Here is a 17801-nt window from a genome sequence, read left to right as displayed (position 1 = left end):
TTTGCCTGGCACTGCTTTCCCCATCTTGCTTCCTAAAATGAGCTCCCATTCATTCTACAAAACCCAGCTCAGGTACCACCTCCCCTGAAAAGCCTTTCCTTGTACACTCAGACTGATTTCATCATTCTGTCTTCTGTGATAGCTCTGGCTTAATATCAGCTTCTCATTGTTGTAACTTCCCGCTCTGAAACCTTGGAATCATGACGTATTCCTTCTCCCCATAATTTATTCATTTACAATTATCTCTTCCTTTCCAAGCGTTGAGCTTCTTGAGAATGTAGACTGGGAATTATTAATCTTGGGGCTCCAATTCCTAGCACGGCGTCTCGCTCAGTAATTGTGGGACAGAATTGGGGGAAAGCTAGTCTGTCTGCTTCCTTTCACGGATGGACTTCTTTGAAATAGCAGATGCCTGCCTGCCTTTGTAGTGTTTCTACTCCCACCCATCCCTTCACCCACTAAAATCTGTTTTCCTCACATATTTACAATCTTTGAAAGAAACAAATGACTCAGCCACCATGTCTGAAGTCTGTGCCCATTCACTTCTCTTCGTCATCCTCTCCGCATCATTTGTCACTGTTGACTACAACCCTCCCTGAAGTTCTTCCCTTGGTTTCTGTAGTGGATAGTCACTGTCTTGGTTGTGTCAATTCTACCTTCTTCTGGGAGCAGCACCCCAGTGTTCCTCTAGGGAACCAACCCTCTCCCACCCTCAGCATCCCATTTTCAGTGTCCAGGTTGAGGTGCTGCTCTCTCCAAGACCAGCAAGTCAGAGCTGAGTGTGGCTTCACATCCGAGCATAGCCACCTCTTGGCCCCAGAGATTGGCTCAGAGGTGAGCATGTAATGGCAACCATTGGAACTGTTTGTTCCTCCTGCGGCAGAAGATAGAATGGAGTTCCTGACTGCTATTTTGTCACCATAAAGAGAAGAGTCCTGAGCCAACAGAGGAAAGTAGAATACAGCGTAGGAGTAAAAATAAGTCTCAATGTCTTTGAGCCACTGAATGCGTCTGAATGTGGACTACCCTGGACTTACCAGTTATATGAGGCAATATATCTCTTTTTTTATTAAACCAATTTGAATTGTTTCTTATCACTTGCAAAAAAAAGTCTTGACAAATTATGGTTATGATGATCTGCAGTATCTCAGATTTCCACCTACATTCTCTTTCTCCTTCATTGGTTTTTTATTCTCCTCCTATCTCATGCATGGGATCCTGATGCTAATGATAGAAATTTCCATTGCAGAATACTTTATCACTCGCAACTTACCTGTCCACAGCCCTCACCAGCATTCACATTCTTCCATATTGAACACACCAATTCTGAAGCTTCAATTCTTATTTCTATATAACAAACCAAATTGTCACCTCCAATTCCAACTTCTCCACAAATGCCTGCCCTCATTTTTCTAACCACCTGCCACTCATCATCAGAATCCCACCAATACTACCGACTTACCTAAAGTCTAATTCTTCCTTCACAATTTCTCTTTTTCCAAATCCATTGCTCTTTCTGATTATTCTAATTTTGATCCAGGTATTAACACTTTCCAGTTTCCTCTGGTTTAAAACCCTAGGGTTATCTTTAATCACTCTTTCTCTATACCTCCCAGTTCAGCCCCAAAACACACACAGTTGCGAAGTCCTTTTGAGTTGATTTCTGGAATGCCTTTTCTCTGTTCCCCCACCCTATCCTCACCACCATTATGTCCTGATTAGGGACTTTAACTTCCTTTATGTAGATTCTAGTCTGCTACTGTGGCCTCACTCCTCCCTGCCCAGCAGCCCGGGGTATTCCTATAGGGCAGTTCCGAGTCCATCAGGCCTCTGCTCCAAACGTCTTGAATGGCGGGCTCCTCACTGACACGCAGGCCCTCAGGGTTCTCGCCGTCTGCTTATTCCCTACCTGTTCCCTCTCTTCAGGGGCTTCTCTCTCAAGGGTGGCTGCCTTTCCCTCTCTCATGTTTTATATGTGGAGCTCTGACACCTAGAAATCGCCCCCAGTCCCACTCCCCATCTCTATTGAAATTCCAGCCACTTTCACCCCAGGCTAAAGGTCATCTCCTTTCCTCTAGTGACCAGATAGGGAAGTACAGCATAGATGGCAGCACAGTTTGCGAGCATCAGAGCTGGTCATCCACAGATGCTCACACTGGTGCCAACCCAAGGTGAACACTCTAAGTGTGTGCTGAACAAGGTGAGCACTCTACGTGTGTGCTGTAGCCTTGGCTCGGTCCTGTCACCCTCCCACCTATGACTCACACCTGGGTCAACGTGCTTCTGACTCCCATTGAGTCAGAGAGCTGACACATGCGTGGCAGTAGGGGGCTCTACACCATCTCTCGGGCTGGAACTAAAGCAAACCAAAATGGAACAACCAGAAAGCTTAGTCAACATGCATGTGATATCCTGCAATATCCTGCATTGAGGTTCAAATTGTGAATTCAGTGGTGTGGAATGGGGGAGGCTAGGTGTTCTGGGGAGGACTTAGGCTTTTGGGAGTTTGGGTGGACTCTGGGCTCTGCATGAACCAGCAGAGGGCCAGAGCTGCCAAGAGAGTGAATGTCATCAGAGGCTTTGTGAACAAAAGGTGGTATGCGGAGCAAGGGAAATGGCAGCCCCCTTTTGCCCATCCACACTATCAAGGATTGAGGTCTGATCCAGGCAGCTCATGTCAAGAAGGAATGGACCAACTGCAGCCAGCCTCAGGCAGGATCACGGCCATGACCCAGTGGGTCAGGAAACCAGAACAACTGAGGCACAGGTAGAATACTGGGCTGAAAGGAAGACTTGGCAGGGACATGAGAGCTGTCTTCAAACATTTGGAGGGTGTCTTCTGCTTTCTAAAAGGAGTTAACCTTTGCTATGTAGCTAAGGAAGGTGGAGTTAGGGTCATTGGATAAGAACTGTAGAGGGGCATTTTAGCTTAGGAACAGGAAAAAGGTTTTGAATGCAAATATGTTCATTATATATACGCTGTGGGATTTGGGGGGGAATTTTTACCTTTTTACTTTATTTTTCCTATGAATTGTTCTTCTGATTTATAGATGTATGTGTTTTGTACTGAAGGGGACTTGGGTTGTTTTTGACTGGCCAGAGCCCATTGCCCCTTCTGGTCTCAGTCCCCAGGTTTTGTTTTGGGGAGCAGCCCCATCCCTACTCTCAATGATTTGGGTGGAGCTGTGTCCGCTGTCTGGCCCCAGGGGTGTTTCTGTAGCAGGCCTGGTCCATTCGTGTCCTCCATCCCTGGCCACAGTGATTAGTCTAGGCATCAGCCCTGACTCCAGCTGGCCTGAGAGTTGCCCAAGGCTAGCAGGAAAGAGCTGCCCTCTTCCGCCTGGGTTGCTGAGCAGACAGGAGCTTTGGGCAGGTGGTGGCTGTCTTGCCTTCACAAGGGGAAAGCCTGCCTAACAAGGAAGCAACACCTGAGGGAAGCAAAGCTGAGAGATTCAGAGTAGATGTCATTTGAGCCCCTACATTCAGTCTCGACTGAAGCCAGGACTATTTTCTGAACATTTCAGTGCTATGAGGCACTCAATTACCTTTACCTTTTTTGCTTCAACCAGGTTGTCAATTTCCTGTCTCTTATAACCAAAGAAGTCCTGATGGATATCGACAGATACAGACTTTGTCTATCATTTGTCTTTGGGATGCTGACCTGTCTGGCAATTGAATGACTACAGATACTGAAGAAAGGTCATAAAACCACTGACAGTTTAGGATCCCATAAGGGACCCTGGATAAGTTGGCCTTAGATGGCCTTTCAGATTCTGAGAATCTGTTCCGGACTCATCTGTGAATGCTGCTTCTCCTCTTTCTAAAACATCTTGTCCCCTTTGCAAAGCTCCCTTCCCTTTGGGAGCATCTCACATTCTACCCTGGGCCGGAGCTCCTGATGCCACCTCCTGTCTCCCCCATTAGATCATGACCATTTTGAGTAAATGTGATGGTAAGTTTTGCTTCTCAGCTCAATTAGTGTTAAGAAAAGGAAGGGAGGGAGGAAAGAAGAGAAAGGAAAAAAAGCAGAAGGAAAAGGAAGGCAAGAAATTTACTTTTTATGGTATTTTAAGCGCTTAATTGTGATGCTTCATCCAGTCTCAATCAAATTCTTGATTCATAATTCCTCCCTGTTGTGTTTGCTTCCTTTAAAATTCAAAATGCTCATCATTTTTTAAAAATAAAGTCTATGGATGATAGTGTTATTTAGCAAAGACGGCTTGTATTGGAAGGTTTCATTCTAAACTCCAGTTCCACCCTCTCTTGACTTGTTCTTCTTACTTACCTCTCTATTTTCTGGTGATTTTGTTAATTTCCTTAATAAACCTTCTTTATCAATGAAGTGGTCAGACCCGCAGGTACTTGAATCATAATGGTATATCTAGATAATTGCAGAGGATCCTTCCAGAAGTTTTTAGACAAGGGACACTATTGTCTTGTCTTACTTCCCTAAGGAAAATCAGATAATGAGATAATCCTCCCCAGCAAGTCACAGAAGGAAATAATCTGCCTATGATGAGGCTTCTCTGTTTTCTTTACCTGAGACTCGCCAAAAACAAAAATTAAATATATACATATATATATACACCCTAAACACCTTCTACCTTTCATTGCCTGGAAGGTTTTTCTGTCTAGACATTTCTTCAGCAGTTACAATGGTGCTGAGTGTAATTGTGGCAGGGCCAGCTGGCCCAGACATCCTTAAAGGGGCCTCTGCATTGCAGTGTATTTAAAATAGTTGTCACTGCCTCAAGTGGATGAGATTTCTGAGAGAGTAATGCTGTTTGCTCATGCATCCAAGCATTTGTATTTAAATGCTTATTGAGAACCCAAGGTGTACAGCACTCCATTAAACCCTGCGGGAGAAGATGCCAAACACGGGGCCCCATCCTTGCTCTCCAGGAGTTTATCATCTAATTAGAGAGACAGGACACAGTGCACACACAAACTCTCTTTTCGGTTGAGGACCTGAAATCCGAGTGTCTCAACCCTGGCCAATTAACGTCAGCTAAAGAGATTTAGAAACAATATTGGATGTCTGAGCCTCACCCCAGACAATTACATGAGAAATGTCTGGATAGATCCCACGCGTTAGTTTTTTAACTGCTCTGCCCCATGCAATTCTAAGCTGCAATCAGATGTGAGAAATGTTGGCCTAAATCCCACCTTTCCTTAAAGATAGGGATCAGTTTGCTCTCCCTGATTTCCCCAATCAGAAGGAATATTACTGATTGATTTTCAAAGGTCCCAGTGCTTCCATCAAAGAAACACACGGGAAACCTCAAACCAAGCCCTTGTCCCCCGACATCTCAAGGGGGAGGAGAACACAGCAGGAAAGTCCGTACCCTGCAGCCCCAGCCCACACCTGGAAGGTTTCTTTACTCGGTGTTGATTAAAGGCAAGGTCCCATCAGCCAGGCTCTGGTGATGCCAGAGAATTTAAAAGGCCACTGTCAACCCAAACACAGTTCAACTCTGAGACCAGCCATATTTCTTGGAAGCCCCTTGGCTTACTGCAAAGTATCTATGTTCGTAAACTTGGGGTCCAGTGGTTATCTGACCCCAAATGAGACAGATGTCTCACTTCATAAGACTGGAATCTTCTGGAAGCAACAGAGGTTGGCTTAGATTTTCTCCTCTTAGGCCTCCAAATTTGGACCATATTCCTGTCCAATGCAGGTGCAGCGTCCCGGCTAATGAGGCAAATTGGACCCTGCGTCCCAGAACAGACATTCCTAGGCACTGACGATGGCTGCCTGGCTGGGAGATGCAGCTTAGTCTTGATGAAAGTTGTCTTTTATTTCCCTTTGTCTGAGTGAGCCCATCCAGTCAGCACTAATCCATTTGTCCAAAGGATTCTAACTTAATCGCCAGCACTTGCGGCCAAAGCCTCTGATGCTCTGACCCATCTCTGTAATTGTCTTGACCAATATATCTGCCTCCGCTCACTGATGGCTCAGGCCAGGCTCCAAGCTGTACCTCAGAATGTGATTAATCAAGAACATCAGAGGAGGGGAGATGCAGACTGGAAACTTTTTATATGCTAGGGGGAAAGAAGCCAGACTTTGAGCAAAGGAGACGTCAGCTTCCAAATAAGGTTCCTAAGTGTGCATGCCGATGCATTGCTCAGTAGTCGCCGGGTTTTCAGTCTCCAGAAGCTTACTCAGGACTTATTGCTGCAGAGGTAACAGAAGCTTTCTCACCAATAGAAAAGACCGGTCCTCAGGCCCACATGGATACCCAGTTTCAGAGCAGTGCAGACCTTCCAGAAAGAACTTTGGCACCAGAAGTTCTTCTCCCTGGGTCTCAAGCTGTGTTTTCTGGGAAGCAGTGACACCTGGTACTCTAATCCCTCAACTGCCTCCCAGGCCCTGGGTCTGGGTGAGATCAGACCACATGACCCCCTTCTGCTCTCAGCGCTTCTGCCCCGTTTCTCCAAGGGTTATCATTTTAAATGCCGCCTCAAGAACTCCTCTAGTCTGTGCTGCTGATTAAGCCCACCCTTCTTTCTACGTGCAGCCTCTGCACACAGTAGCCCCTCAGAGGTGTAGCAGTCTGCTGTTGGTATGAGTTACTCCGAGGGACCCTGGAGACGGATCTTTCCAACGGATGCTCCTATCTCTGACCCCATGCTGTCCCCACCTTCGGCTCCAGAGAGGCATGTGGGGGGGGTCTTTGGAGAGCCCCAGGGCACAGTGGCCAGGGTTCACCTCAGCCACATTGCCGTGTCCATCGGCACCACACTGCAGAACAAGGAGCATGTGATCGAGGCCCACATGGGGGTCAACTTCAAGTTCCCTGACTGCCAGGCAATCCACATCTCCAAGAAGTGGGGCTTTACCAGGTTTAATGCAGATGAATTTGAAGACATGGCTGAGAAACACCTCATCCCGATGGCTGTGGGGTTAAGTCCACCCCCAGTTGCAGCCCCTGGACAAGTGGCGGGCCCTGCTATCCTAAGTGCTGCCATTGCACCGCCCCCTCCTTACTCATGCCCACTGAGAAATCCCACTCCTCGTAAAACAAACAAACAAACAAACAAAAAAAACCCAAAGAGACTGAGAGAGCTCTTCTAGTCGATTTTGCCTTCTGGTGCCATTTTGGGTTTTTAGTTTTGTTTCAGACACAGGGCCCCACTCTGTCGCCCAGGCTGGAGTGTAGCGGTGCCGTTTCAGTTCATTGCAACCTCCATCTCCCGGGTTTAAGCGATTCTTCTGCCTCAGCCTCCCAAGTAGCTGGATTACAGGTCTGCGCCACCATGCTCAGCTAATTTTTGTAATTTTTGTAGAGACGGGGTTTCACCATGTTGCCTAAGCTGGTCTCAAACTCCTGGCCTCAAGTGATCCATCGGCCTCCGCCTTCCAAAGTGCCGGATTACAGGCGTGAGAGCCACGGCACCCGACCGTGGCGCCATTTTGAACAAGCTTGGGAGGGGTTTGAAAATGCCTTTCTTGAACCTGTCCTTGCAGAGGGTGTTGCCACTGACATTGCAGCAACAGGAGGTGGGAGCTGCTTTTCTGAGAGAGGCAGGGAGTTTTGCTCATAAAGTCACCAGCAACACTAGCTGCATCTAATCACTCATTCCAACACGTTCACTTAGTTTCTATAATACTACAGGTTAGTTTTCACTTCAGTAGGTGCTGAACTGTTTGCCCTAAAGGATGCAAAGCTGAGTAAGTATCCCACTGCAGGGAGCTTCGGCTCTAAGGAGCGCAGGGAGGGCAATGATGCTGAGGATTCCTGGGCTTGGGTATCAACGGCAAGTGAGGTGATATTGACATCAAGACCTCATCTCAAATGAAATCTCATTGCTTCTTTTAGATCAGTCATGAAAGGAGCAATTCCTCATCCCAATGCAGTCTCAGAATGAGGAAAGTGATTTTTTTTTTTAATCATTCTTATCCCAGGTTGTCTCAGAGCGCAACCCCTCATTCATCCTCTTCCTGCCAACTTCCTCTGGTCTTGTGTCTCATCACCTTTGTGGTGACTGATGTGGGTTTCCTTGTGTGTCTCCTCGTGTGTCCTATTCACAGCCACAGCATTTTCCTTCTTTAAGAGGAAGAGTCACGCCTGTAATCCCAGCACCTTGGGAGGCCGAGGCGGGCAGATCACGAGATCAGGAGATGGAGACCATCCTGGCTAACACGGTGAAACCCCATCTCTACTAAAAATACGAAAAACAAAATTAGCTACTCGGGAGGCTGAGGCAGGAGAATGGTGTGAACCTGGGAGGCGGAGCTTGCAGTGAGCTGAGATCGCGCCCCTGCACTCCAGCCTGGGCAACAGAGCGAGACTCCGTCTCAAAAAAAAAAAAAAAAAAAAAAAAGAAAGAAAGAAAGAAAAAGAGGAAGAGAAGCTTAGGAGTTCTACCTAAGAGTGTGCTCCCTCAGGTGAGTATTCCTCCCATACCGCTGCTGTGTAAGGCAGAGTAAGGCAAAACCCAAACAAATTGGCAGATTTAGCGCCTTTTCCCAGCCCTCAAAATGTTTTATTTAGAAGAAAGATTAATTAAATACAAAAAGGCAGAAGATGTTCTTACACTAAACTTTCCAGGGAAGTCCCTCAATTCTCTCCTTTATCTTCACCCATGGAAAGTCAGTCAAAGAGAGACCATCTTCAACCACTGCGTGCCCAGCGTTCTGTCCTCGTGAGTCCCTGCATCTTTTGTCCTCAATCTGTTTTCCAGGGGAAGGTTTTGTTTGGCTACCCTCAATCTCACGTCCGAATTTTCCCATTTCAGTGCTTCTTCCTTTCCTCAGTCAGCCTTTTTGGACAAATCTCTTAAAGAAGGTACTTAACCTTGACTGCATCCTAGACGCACCCCAGGAGCGTTAAGTACTGATGCCTGGGTCCCACTCCCAGGATTCTGACTCCATTGTTTGGGGTGGGCTTGGGAATTGCATGTTTAAAGCTTCCCTGGCGATTCTGATGGGCAGGGAGGCTGAGCACCCGTTAGAGGGCTGTGACCGGTTTCCTTCTGCAGGCTTTCCCTTGCTCTTCATGTTCTATGCTCTCCATAGTCATTATTGCACCTTATTATAAAGAAAGAACTAAAGCCAGGGCAATAGGCTCATTCTAGAAGTTAAAACATTATAGCATCACAAAGAATTATCTCCCTGGTTTCAGGCCAGTACTACGGGACCTCTGGCTCCTGGCTCAAATTTTATCCTCAGTGTCACCAGGTCACAGAAGTACTGCCCATATTTCTGCGTACAGTTGTAAAAACATGACCACACTTTTGTATCCTAAAAAAGCCACACTATGGGGCTGTTACTCCCTGTGAGCCTTGGGCCTGTATGGCACTACAGCATGTCTTTTTCTGTTCCTTTGTCTCTACTTACCTCTGCCCCTCAGTTTTTCTACCTTTAAAAAAAAAGAAAAAACACCTTGACTGTATTATAAAATAGAATGAAAATACTTGAATTTTTTACATTTATTTATACAATTTTTTTTTCTTTGAGACAGAATCTTGCTCTGTTGCCCAGGCTGGAGTGCAGTGGCGCCATCTCAGCTCACTGCAACCTCCACTTCCTGGGTTCAAGTAATTCTCTCTGCCTCAGCCTACCGAGTAGCTGGGATTACAGGTGTCTGCCATTATATCCAGCTAATTTTTTTGTATTTTTAATAGAGATAGGGTTTGGCCATGTTGGCCAGGCTGGTCTCGAACTCCTGATCTCAGGTGATCCACCTGCCTCAGCCTCCCAAAATGCTGGGATTACAGGTATGAGCCACTGCACCAGCCTCATCTATTTATACAACTTTTGATCCTCATTCTTTTAAAGCTATGTTTCTTTCTGAAAGAAAAATAAATGAATTGCTACTTAACCTGCCTCCAGTTTGTAAAGGCAGGATGAGGTGGAGAGAGCACTGTACTAGGAGTAACCAAAAGACCTGAGTCTGTCTCAATCACTCACTCTCATGTACCCTGAGATGCAAGTCACTGATGCCCTCCCTCCCTTCTCTCAATTATAAATTGGAGAATAATGTCTTCACGGCTCATATTCACCGCCTATATCCACAGGTTAACATGAGAATCAAATAAGACAGTATTTGTGAATATTTTTTGAGAAAAAAATGTAAGCTAGGATTCCTTTTAATTGATCACATTGTGAATTTGAATCTTTCTACAAAGAAATTGTCAATGCTCATTCTTCAAGCTATCATTTTGATTTCTTTGGAAACCTTGCTTGCAGTCATGTGATCAGAGCTGTTGCTGGTCTACAGACGGCTTTTCTTTTTCTAGGAAGGATGTTCTGTGGTCTGTCTGCTGCTTTCTGGAAGTTTCATTTCAGAAGGAAGCCCTGGTGAGGTTCCATCTCGACATCTGCAAGTCATATCCACAGGGAAAATATGACTCACTTGAGTGACTGTCTTAAGTTTTCATGGATATTATTCAGGGAGTAGGTGTTGTCTTTGGGCCAAATCATGAAATGGCCCAAAGACAACACCTACTCTCTGATTTCACCACTTGAAATCATCATGACATCAGCCCTGTCACAGAAACTGACTATGCACCCACAGGAAGCAGAAAGAAGGGTGGGCGATGGGGCACAAGGTTACTCCAAGAAAGGCCACTGTCCTAGCGCTTCTGAAGTTTAGCGATAATGCAGTCAAAGAATGCAGCAGAGTGCCTGGCGTATGATAGGAAGGCAATAGAGGGTAGCCAACCCGCTACAGTGCTTTTATGAATAACCCCATACAAAATACAACAGCTGAGATGACTCAACCCCTTGCAGAATGAGAAGAGACACAAACAAACCATAGTTTCAGCTGCATGGATGGTAAGTGCATGACATACTTGCTCTCCACCTCCTTTCTTGGCTGTATCTGACACCACTAAAATTGATCATTGCATAGTTTGCTGATGACCCTGCATGTGACTCCAGAATCCTTCTTGACCCAGCTTGAACAAACTGATACCAGTCAAGCTAAAATGCCAATTGTTGTAAAACTGTGGAGCATTCCGGTATAAAGATTTCAGTAACCTAATCAATGCATGCATGGCACTTGGTCAGGCACTCAAACCACATCATTATAGTTGACATTTTCCTCTTCTTAGTCTTTGTCATCAATATCATCATTATACATGTCATCACAGTGCAAATTTAAGCTATTTTTATTGAAAGGGCTTTAGTTTTTATTTAGGACTCCACCAGGGTTGTAGAGGGCTTTCATTCCATACTTTTATATTTCAGCCTCAGTGACTAAACCTATTTCCTAATGATTTCAGCATAATCTTTTCTTTTATTGTCCTTCCAATCATAAAAGAACATGTTTCAAAAAAAGAAAAAATGCTACATGCATTGCCCCTTTTGGTATAGGGTTTTCTCTCCTTTATAATAATAGAGTGATCCTGCAAATCCAGTTCAGAATTGTAATGAATTATTGAATCCATAAGAATAGACTACTGACATTGATGTAGACTTTAGGGGAAAACATCTGGCAGGCAGAAGTTCTACAATACATTGCAAAGGATCTTAGCCAAAAAGAAAAGTTAAAGGGAAGTACCTGCAAGGAGGGCAACAGTCCATACTGAAGGTGGAACACATGCAATAGCAAAAACAGTCCATGATCTTTTGATTTCTCCTGGGCCTCTTTGTGCAGTAGCTTGGAAAGGAGCCTTTACCCAGGTCCAAGGTGCCTCCTCTTCTTGGTTTAGTGATCTCAGTTCTGGGAAGCTGGGCTGCTCCAGAGAGTCTGCTGAAAGTGTGCAGATGAGAAGAATAGGCTCTGAAAGGGCTTTCTGGCCCTCAATAAACAGGATACTCGGCCCTACCTCCTGCAGTGCCAAGCTCTTCTAAGGCAGCTTAATGGGCCCTAGATAGTGCAACCATCAGAGCTGGTGGGCCAGAAACATGACCACCTGCCCTCCTGAAGAAGATTCATGGGAATCTTTCCATGACAGGCTGAGGAAGACATCCCACCCTTGACTCATACCAAGGCTTCTCTAGTGAACCAGTCAGAAACAACTATATTGTTAAGGCCTGTGTAGAAGACAGATATAAGACAAAGTGAAACTGCAACGAATAGGATAATAATTCTAAATTTGAATATAATAATAATAAATGAAAGATAAAAATCCTAAATTTGATTATAAGTCATCACTTCTAGTTACCCCCGGAATTGAGTGCTAGAGAGAAATAATGGCCTCAGTCAATTAGAAAAACCCAAGAGGCCTCGATCCATTAGTAAACACAGGCTGCCATTTTGAAATGAGTGAACTCACCATGGACCACTCATCCACTTCCCACCAACAGCCAAGCTGACATGGAATCGAACCATCCAGGGTGCTAACCACATGTGTGGGCAGTATGCGTACACATGGTAGGCAGCTTGGTCCAACACACACCTGAAGGAACATGACAAGACTCCAACTCAGATGCACCTTTTAGCTCCCAGTCTCAGCAACTGCCATGGCCAGCAATGATTCCCAGGGCAGGGAGACTCTAAAGCCAGAAAAATCAGAGAGGCCAGACATTATCTCCGTTTCAAGAGTAGCATGTGATCAACCAAGAAGCAGGTTGTGAGCAGACTCCCTCCTACTATTGAAGGTCCTTCCCCCAGCTATCTGAGAAACGGCCATGAAGGGGGGACTTAAATACTCTATGCTTGCTCCCCGGAGCTGCCCATGTGGGGGTGTGGAACTCGGACTCTGACATCCTAGGCCAAGAGGCAATGGTGACTCCCAGCCCTGGCTTCAACAGGCTCTGTATTATAGACGTGTTGGAAATCAAGGCAGAGGTGCGAGAAGAAAGGAACTGAAACGATCTTGCGACTGGGCCGAGGTCCTTACTTATGTTTATGTTTTGGATGTGGGAGGAGACATAGAGTAGAGAAGGGAGGGACAAAGCTGATGAGACAGGGTGGAAATGCAGTTGACATTTCTTCACTCCCCAGCAAGAGGAGATTGGCTCTGTAGTTAGCTCTCCTTCCCCAAGTAAACAGTCAACACATTCCGACAGCCTGGGTCTGTACTTTCCTGAGTATAACAACCCCATTCCACACACAACACTGTTAGCCCGCTGAGTCTCCTGAGTCCTCAGGAACACGGTGGTACTCCCAGAATGTGAAAACTGTTGTAAACTCCCACTCATATGTTAAGGAAATATTTCCAAATATTAAGGAAATGTTTGTCTCCCTGACCTGATTCCATGCTAATCCGAACAGACTTCCTAATCCTGATGCTCTTTGGTGTCACTTCCTGCCCACTGTGCCGCGTCCATTAGACCGTGAGGTTGCTGAGGGCAGAAGCTGCACCTTGCTGCTGCTGGGTCCCCAGGGTGTCGTTCAGGGCCAGGCCTACGCCATAGTTCATTAAATATTTCTAGAAAGGAAAAGAGGCATGAAATGACCGACTTGTGCACATTTGCCTGAGGCATCTCTGGTTTTAGCATTGAATGTCCTGTGTCCTGGGAAACCCCTCAGACTTGGCAACCTGAGACAATTGGTCACCTTGGCTGGAAGGAGGGAGGGAAGAGTGAAGTACATTAGTCCAAGCCCACCTGGGGCAGAACCCTGCATGCTCTGACTTGCTGGCATAAGGAATGGGCGGCTGAGTAGCAGGTGAGCTCATGGGGTCCCTAAGGAGATGCGGTGAGCCCATCCCTTTAAAGAAGCAGAGGGACCATGAGCCAGACTTTCATCCCATCATCACTGAGTCCTGAAAATAGAATTATTATATTCATTTGGGAAACATCTGTTGTGAACCTACCCTTTGTCGGGTTCTGTGCCAGATCCTGAGAGTACGGAAGAAGCAAGAACAGGTCTTCCTTCCAGGAGTGCAGAGGAAGCGGGGCGTGCTGGGGAAGTGTCCCGTGGGCTTCCTGTGTCATGCATGCGAGTAAAGATCTGCACGCACAGTTGATGGACAAACTCATACGGGGCAGTTTGCCTGCTGGGCTGGCACACACGTGGTCTACCTTGGGAATCCTAAAGGACAAAGAGTTACAACCTCCACGACAGGCCTTTGCCGTGTATCCCCAGGTCTGTAGAACCCATGGTGACAGAGAGCTGTTGGTTTATTTGTTTTTCAGCAACACATAGGCCTTCCCAGTGGGCTGTGGAAAGGATCACCAGGTCCCTGGCTTAAATAGACCTGACATCATGGCCAGGTGGACATGAGGCTGCCAGGGACTGCTGGGGGCAGGCACCAGGATGAGGCCCAGGGAAGAGGAAGGATGCACGGTTTCCACTGCACTCAGGGCAGATGGAGCTAATCCCCCAGATATGAGCCCTGCCTGCTCCTTCTGTGGCCCTGTGTTTTTAATGGCCCAAGGGCCAGTGGCCAGGCAGCTGTCTCCCAGCCCAGAGACATGGCACAACCAGGGCTGTGCAACTGGACATGAGGCCAGTCCTGCCCTCTTTTTGCTTTACTCCTGACTTGCCACTCTCAGCAATAGGTCCTGACCCCTCAAGAACTGTTTTGGTGACTTTCTATTAGGGCCCACAGAATAGAGACTCAGCAAATGTTGAGTGGAGTTGACCATTTAACTCTTGTTGGTCTCAGATCTATCCTTAGGTTCAATTTCCACAGATCTGACACTGTGTCCTTTTGGCTCTTCATAGCTGCTGACTGATTTTCTTTTTTAAACTCCCACCCTACCCTTACCCACTACAGTACGTTTAGGAAATGTATTGTCTTATGGCAAAGAGAAATATCGTCTTCCTGAGTTGTGAAACAACTCAGAAACATTGTAGGAGGCATTTTGTTTTACAGACCAGAGGGAAACAGACATGGATTAAGTCTTCTCAGAATTAAGTTGAAATCACCAAGCTGATAAATAATGTCTCTCCCTCTCCTCTGACCTGTTTATAGAATTTGTCCTCCCGTTGTTTTCTCCCTCCTTCCCTTCCTTGTTTCAGGCCATGGCCTGTGCATGTAACAGTGAAGCAGCCCTTGTTTTCTGCCCTCTGCGAGCTCTCAAGTAATGGGGCTTGATTATTATCACAAGGCAAGGACTGGGAGCTCAGCTTCTTAATAAGCAGACTCACAGAGAAAGCCCTCCCTCAACCACCTGCCCCCTGTAGCTCATGTTAACAAATTATTTAAACATAGTATGCTCCTTAGAGAGGGAAATAACTGGGAGGGCCTGAGGGAAGAAAGGAAAAAGTAATCAGGAAGGCTTCATGGAGGAAGTGATATTGAACTGAGATTCTGAAGAGTGAATAGGAGTACACAATGCCATTAAACTTTAACAAAAATTCTCAGTAACCCATGGTTAAAATAAAGTTAAATCCCTAAAATAAAGCTAAATCATAAAAACATGAAAAAGCAAGTTTATATCAGGGATTTAGCTTTTAGGATAAACAGAGGAATTCAGCATATATTTAATCCAGGTTAGGATACTTCCCTCCACTATGCAACTGGTCTTCCTGTCCAGACTTCTGCCCTTTGAGATGCCGTAAGATCTCATAGTCCCCATCTGTAACAGAGATAAGAAAGTGAAGTCACATTTTGTGGAAAGCTTTTCTAAATTAAGGGGTTAAGACAAAAAAGATTTTGGCTTCATTCACAGTTAACTAGAAACTTCCATTAACCATAATGACCCATTCCCCAAGCTGGCTGGCTAATGGAGGTCCTGCTGCATTCGTCTTTTTGTTTTGCTTCCTTCCTTTCCTTTGCTCCCAGGCTCTCTATCAACTGTGGGTTCCTGTGCTCCTGTCTCTGCAGCAGCCTTTTCTTCTCTCCTCTTCCACCCTCTCAGTTGTCAGTGCTTGACTCAGCCGGGGCTGTGTGGGAATCGGCAGGGAGTGCATCAGGGAGTCAGGGCTCAGAAGGAGACTCATTGTGGATTTACCTTCACTTGATGGAGAACCCCCAGCTCCTGCTAGGCTGACCATTCCATGGAAGCTATTTTTGTGGGTGAGCCCCTAATCCTAGACTCTAGAGTATGAAAAGCAATGCACCTGGGGTGGATGGTCAGAGAGATTTCTGTTTCTCAGGGAGGAGGTTGGAGCTTTGACAAGACACAGCTGGTTGAGGGAGGGAGCTGGAAGATTCAGCCCTGGGGTGAGGAAGAAGAGGAGGAGGGTGCCTTTATGAAGCAGGTGGCTTCACTGTTTCTATAAATGAAAATGGCACGTTTTCACTGAACACTGATTATGAAAATGGTCTTTTATTAGGCAGCTGTACCAGCCCATAGGACAGCCCTTGAGGCTCTAGCTGGGGAACTCTCCCTGCAGTTCATAAACATGGTTGGCTGCAACTCGCTGCAGAGCCAAGAGTGTTTGTTATTTCTTTCTACTCAAGGACTGCACAGGACAGGAATGAGCGCCTGTGGAGGTAGAAGGACAGAAAGAGGCCAGGGCTTTACCTCAAACACTGCCAGATTTAATTATCCCTGCCATTTGTGTTTTTATCTGGGAGTCCTTCATCCTCCTTTTGAAGAGACTGAAAAAGAGACCCAGTCTTCTGTCTAACGAGGTTGGGGAGGAAGGTGCTGGAATGAGGCTGGGCTTGCAAAGACACCGATGGGTCTCCTCTCCTTGCAGCAGAGGTGAATGTAATTGGTCTCCCTTCTCTTTAATTAACAGAAAAATCCCCTCTGAAATGGCGAATGAATAGGGCAGGAGACTGAGGAGCACTTCAGCCCTGAGCAAATCACCTGCCTTCCAGCCTCCTTGCTTTTAGGAAGCTGAACCCCATGTCTCATGGCAGGTTAAGCAGTCCACTCCACTTGCCCAGGTCCCTGGAAACATGGTGGCCCAAGTTGTGGGGAAATCACAGGGAGAATCCAAACCTCACTGGTCAGGTCCCCACACAAAGCCAGGGGTTCCACTGTGGTTTCCCAAGGAGAGGTAAATAACAACAGCTAGTATTTATTGAGCACATACTATGTGCCAGGCTCGGTGTTACTCATTTAACACTGTGTTTTCTATTAACTAATTTAATTCTAACAATTCCATGATGTAGTTTTTATTTTCAGATGAAGTCACCAAGACTTGCTCATGGAGACACAGCTGGAAAGCAGAAGCACCAGGATTCAAGCCTGGGCCGGTGGGAAGCCTGAGGCTCTTACCCGCCCTCCCTTCAGTGCTGCCTCCCTTCATGCTGCACTGCTCCCTTCTCAATGTCCCTGCTTCTCCTGCCCTCATTTCAACTGCTCATCCGTCTTTCCAGACTTTTCTACAGACGTGCGGCATTGCAGTACTGCTCTTGCTACAAATGTCAGATTTCCTTGGTCAGATTTGCTTATTGTGGGACTTTCTGCTGAGATATATCAGAGATGTTACAACTGCGAGAAATGCAGGCAGTTCTCTGCGATCCATCTGCCATGCAATGACAAGAGATGCTTAAAGGCTGTCTGGTAGAACTGCCTTCTTTAGAAACCTGAGGGCCGGGCGCAGTGGCTCACGCCTGTAATCCCAGCACTTTGGAAGGCCGAGGCAGGCAGATCACGAGGTTAGGAGATCGAGACCATCGTGGCCAACACGGTGAAATCCCGTCTCTACTAAAAATACAAAAAAAAGAAAAAAAGAAAAAATTAGCTGGGCATGGCGGTGGGCGCCTGTAGTCCCAGCTACTCAGGAGGCTGAGGCAGGAGAATGGCATGAACCCGGGAAACGGAGCTTGCAGTAAGCCGAGATCGCGCCTCTGCCCTCCAGCCTGGGCGGCAGAGCGAGACTCTGTCTCGGGAAAAAAAAAAAGAAAGAAAGAAAAAAAAGAAACCTGAGAGCACCAGGAGCCCATAAAAGGAGCCAAGACTACCCCTTCGAATCTAAGCCCCTCCGAGAGCGCAGTGTCAAGAGGTGCATCATTCAAGAAGTCTCCTGCAGGGTGAAGTCCTCTCCAAAATGAGCACT

General features: G+C 46.4%; 1 long non-coding RNA gene across 1 annotated transcript; it reads right to left on the bottom strand.

Moving 5' to 3' along the window:
* Positions 1 to 10146: 10146 nt before the first annotated feature.
* LOC102724557 (uncharacterized) lies at positions 10147 to 15871 on the bottom strand. The gene is made up of 6 exons (XR_001742517.2): positions 15797 to 15871; positions 13711 to 15421; positions 13143 to 13323; positions 12349 to 12445; positions 11508 to 11696; positions 10147 to 10323 (listed from the first exon to the last, which is right to left on the bottom strand). It is a non-coding gene; the product is annotated as an uncharacterized LOC102724557 (long non-coding RNA).
* Positions 15872 to 17801: the final 1930 nt, after the last annotated feature.

Source organism: Homo sapiens, chromosome 5, assembly GCF_000001405.40.
Source record: "Homo sapiens chromosome 5, GRCh38.p14 Primary Assembly".
Lineage (NCBI taxonomy): Eukaryota > Metazoa > Chordata > Mammalia > Primates > Hominidae > Homo > Homo sapiens.
This window is presented reverse-complemented; position numbering and strand designations above follow the sequence as displayed.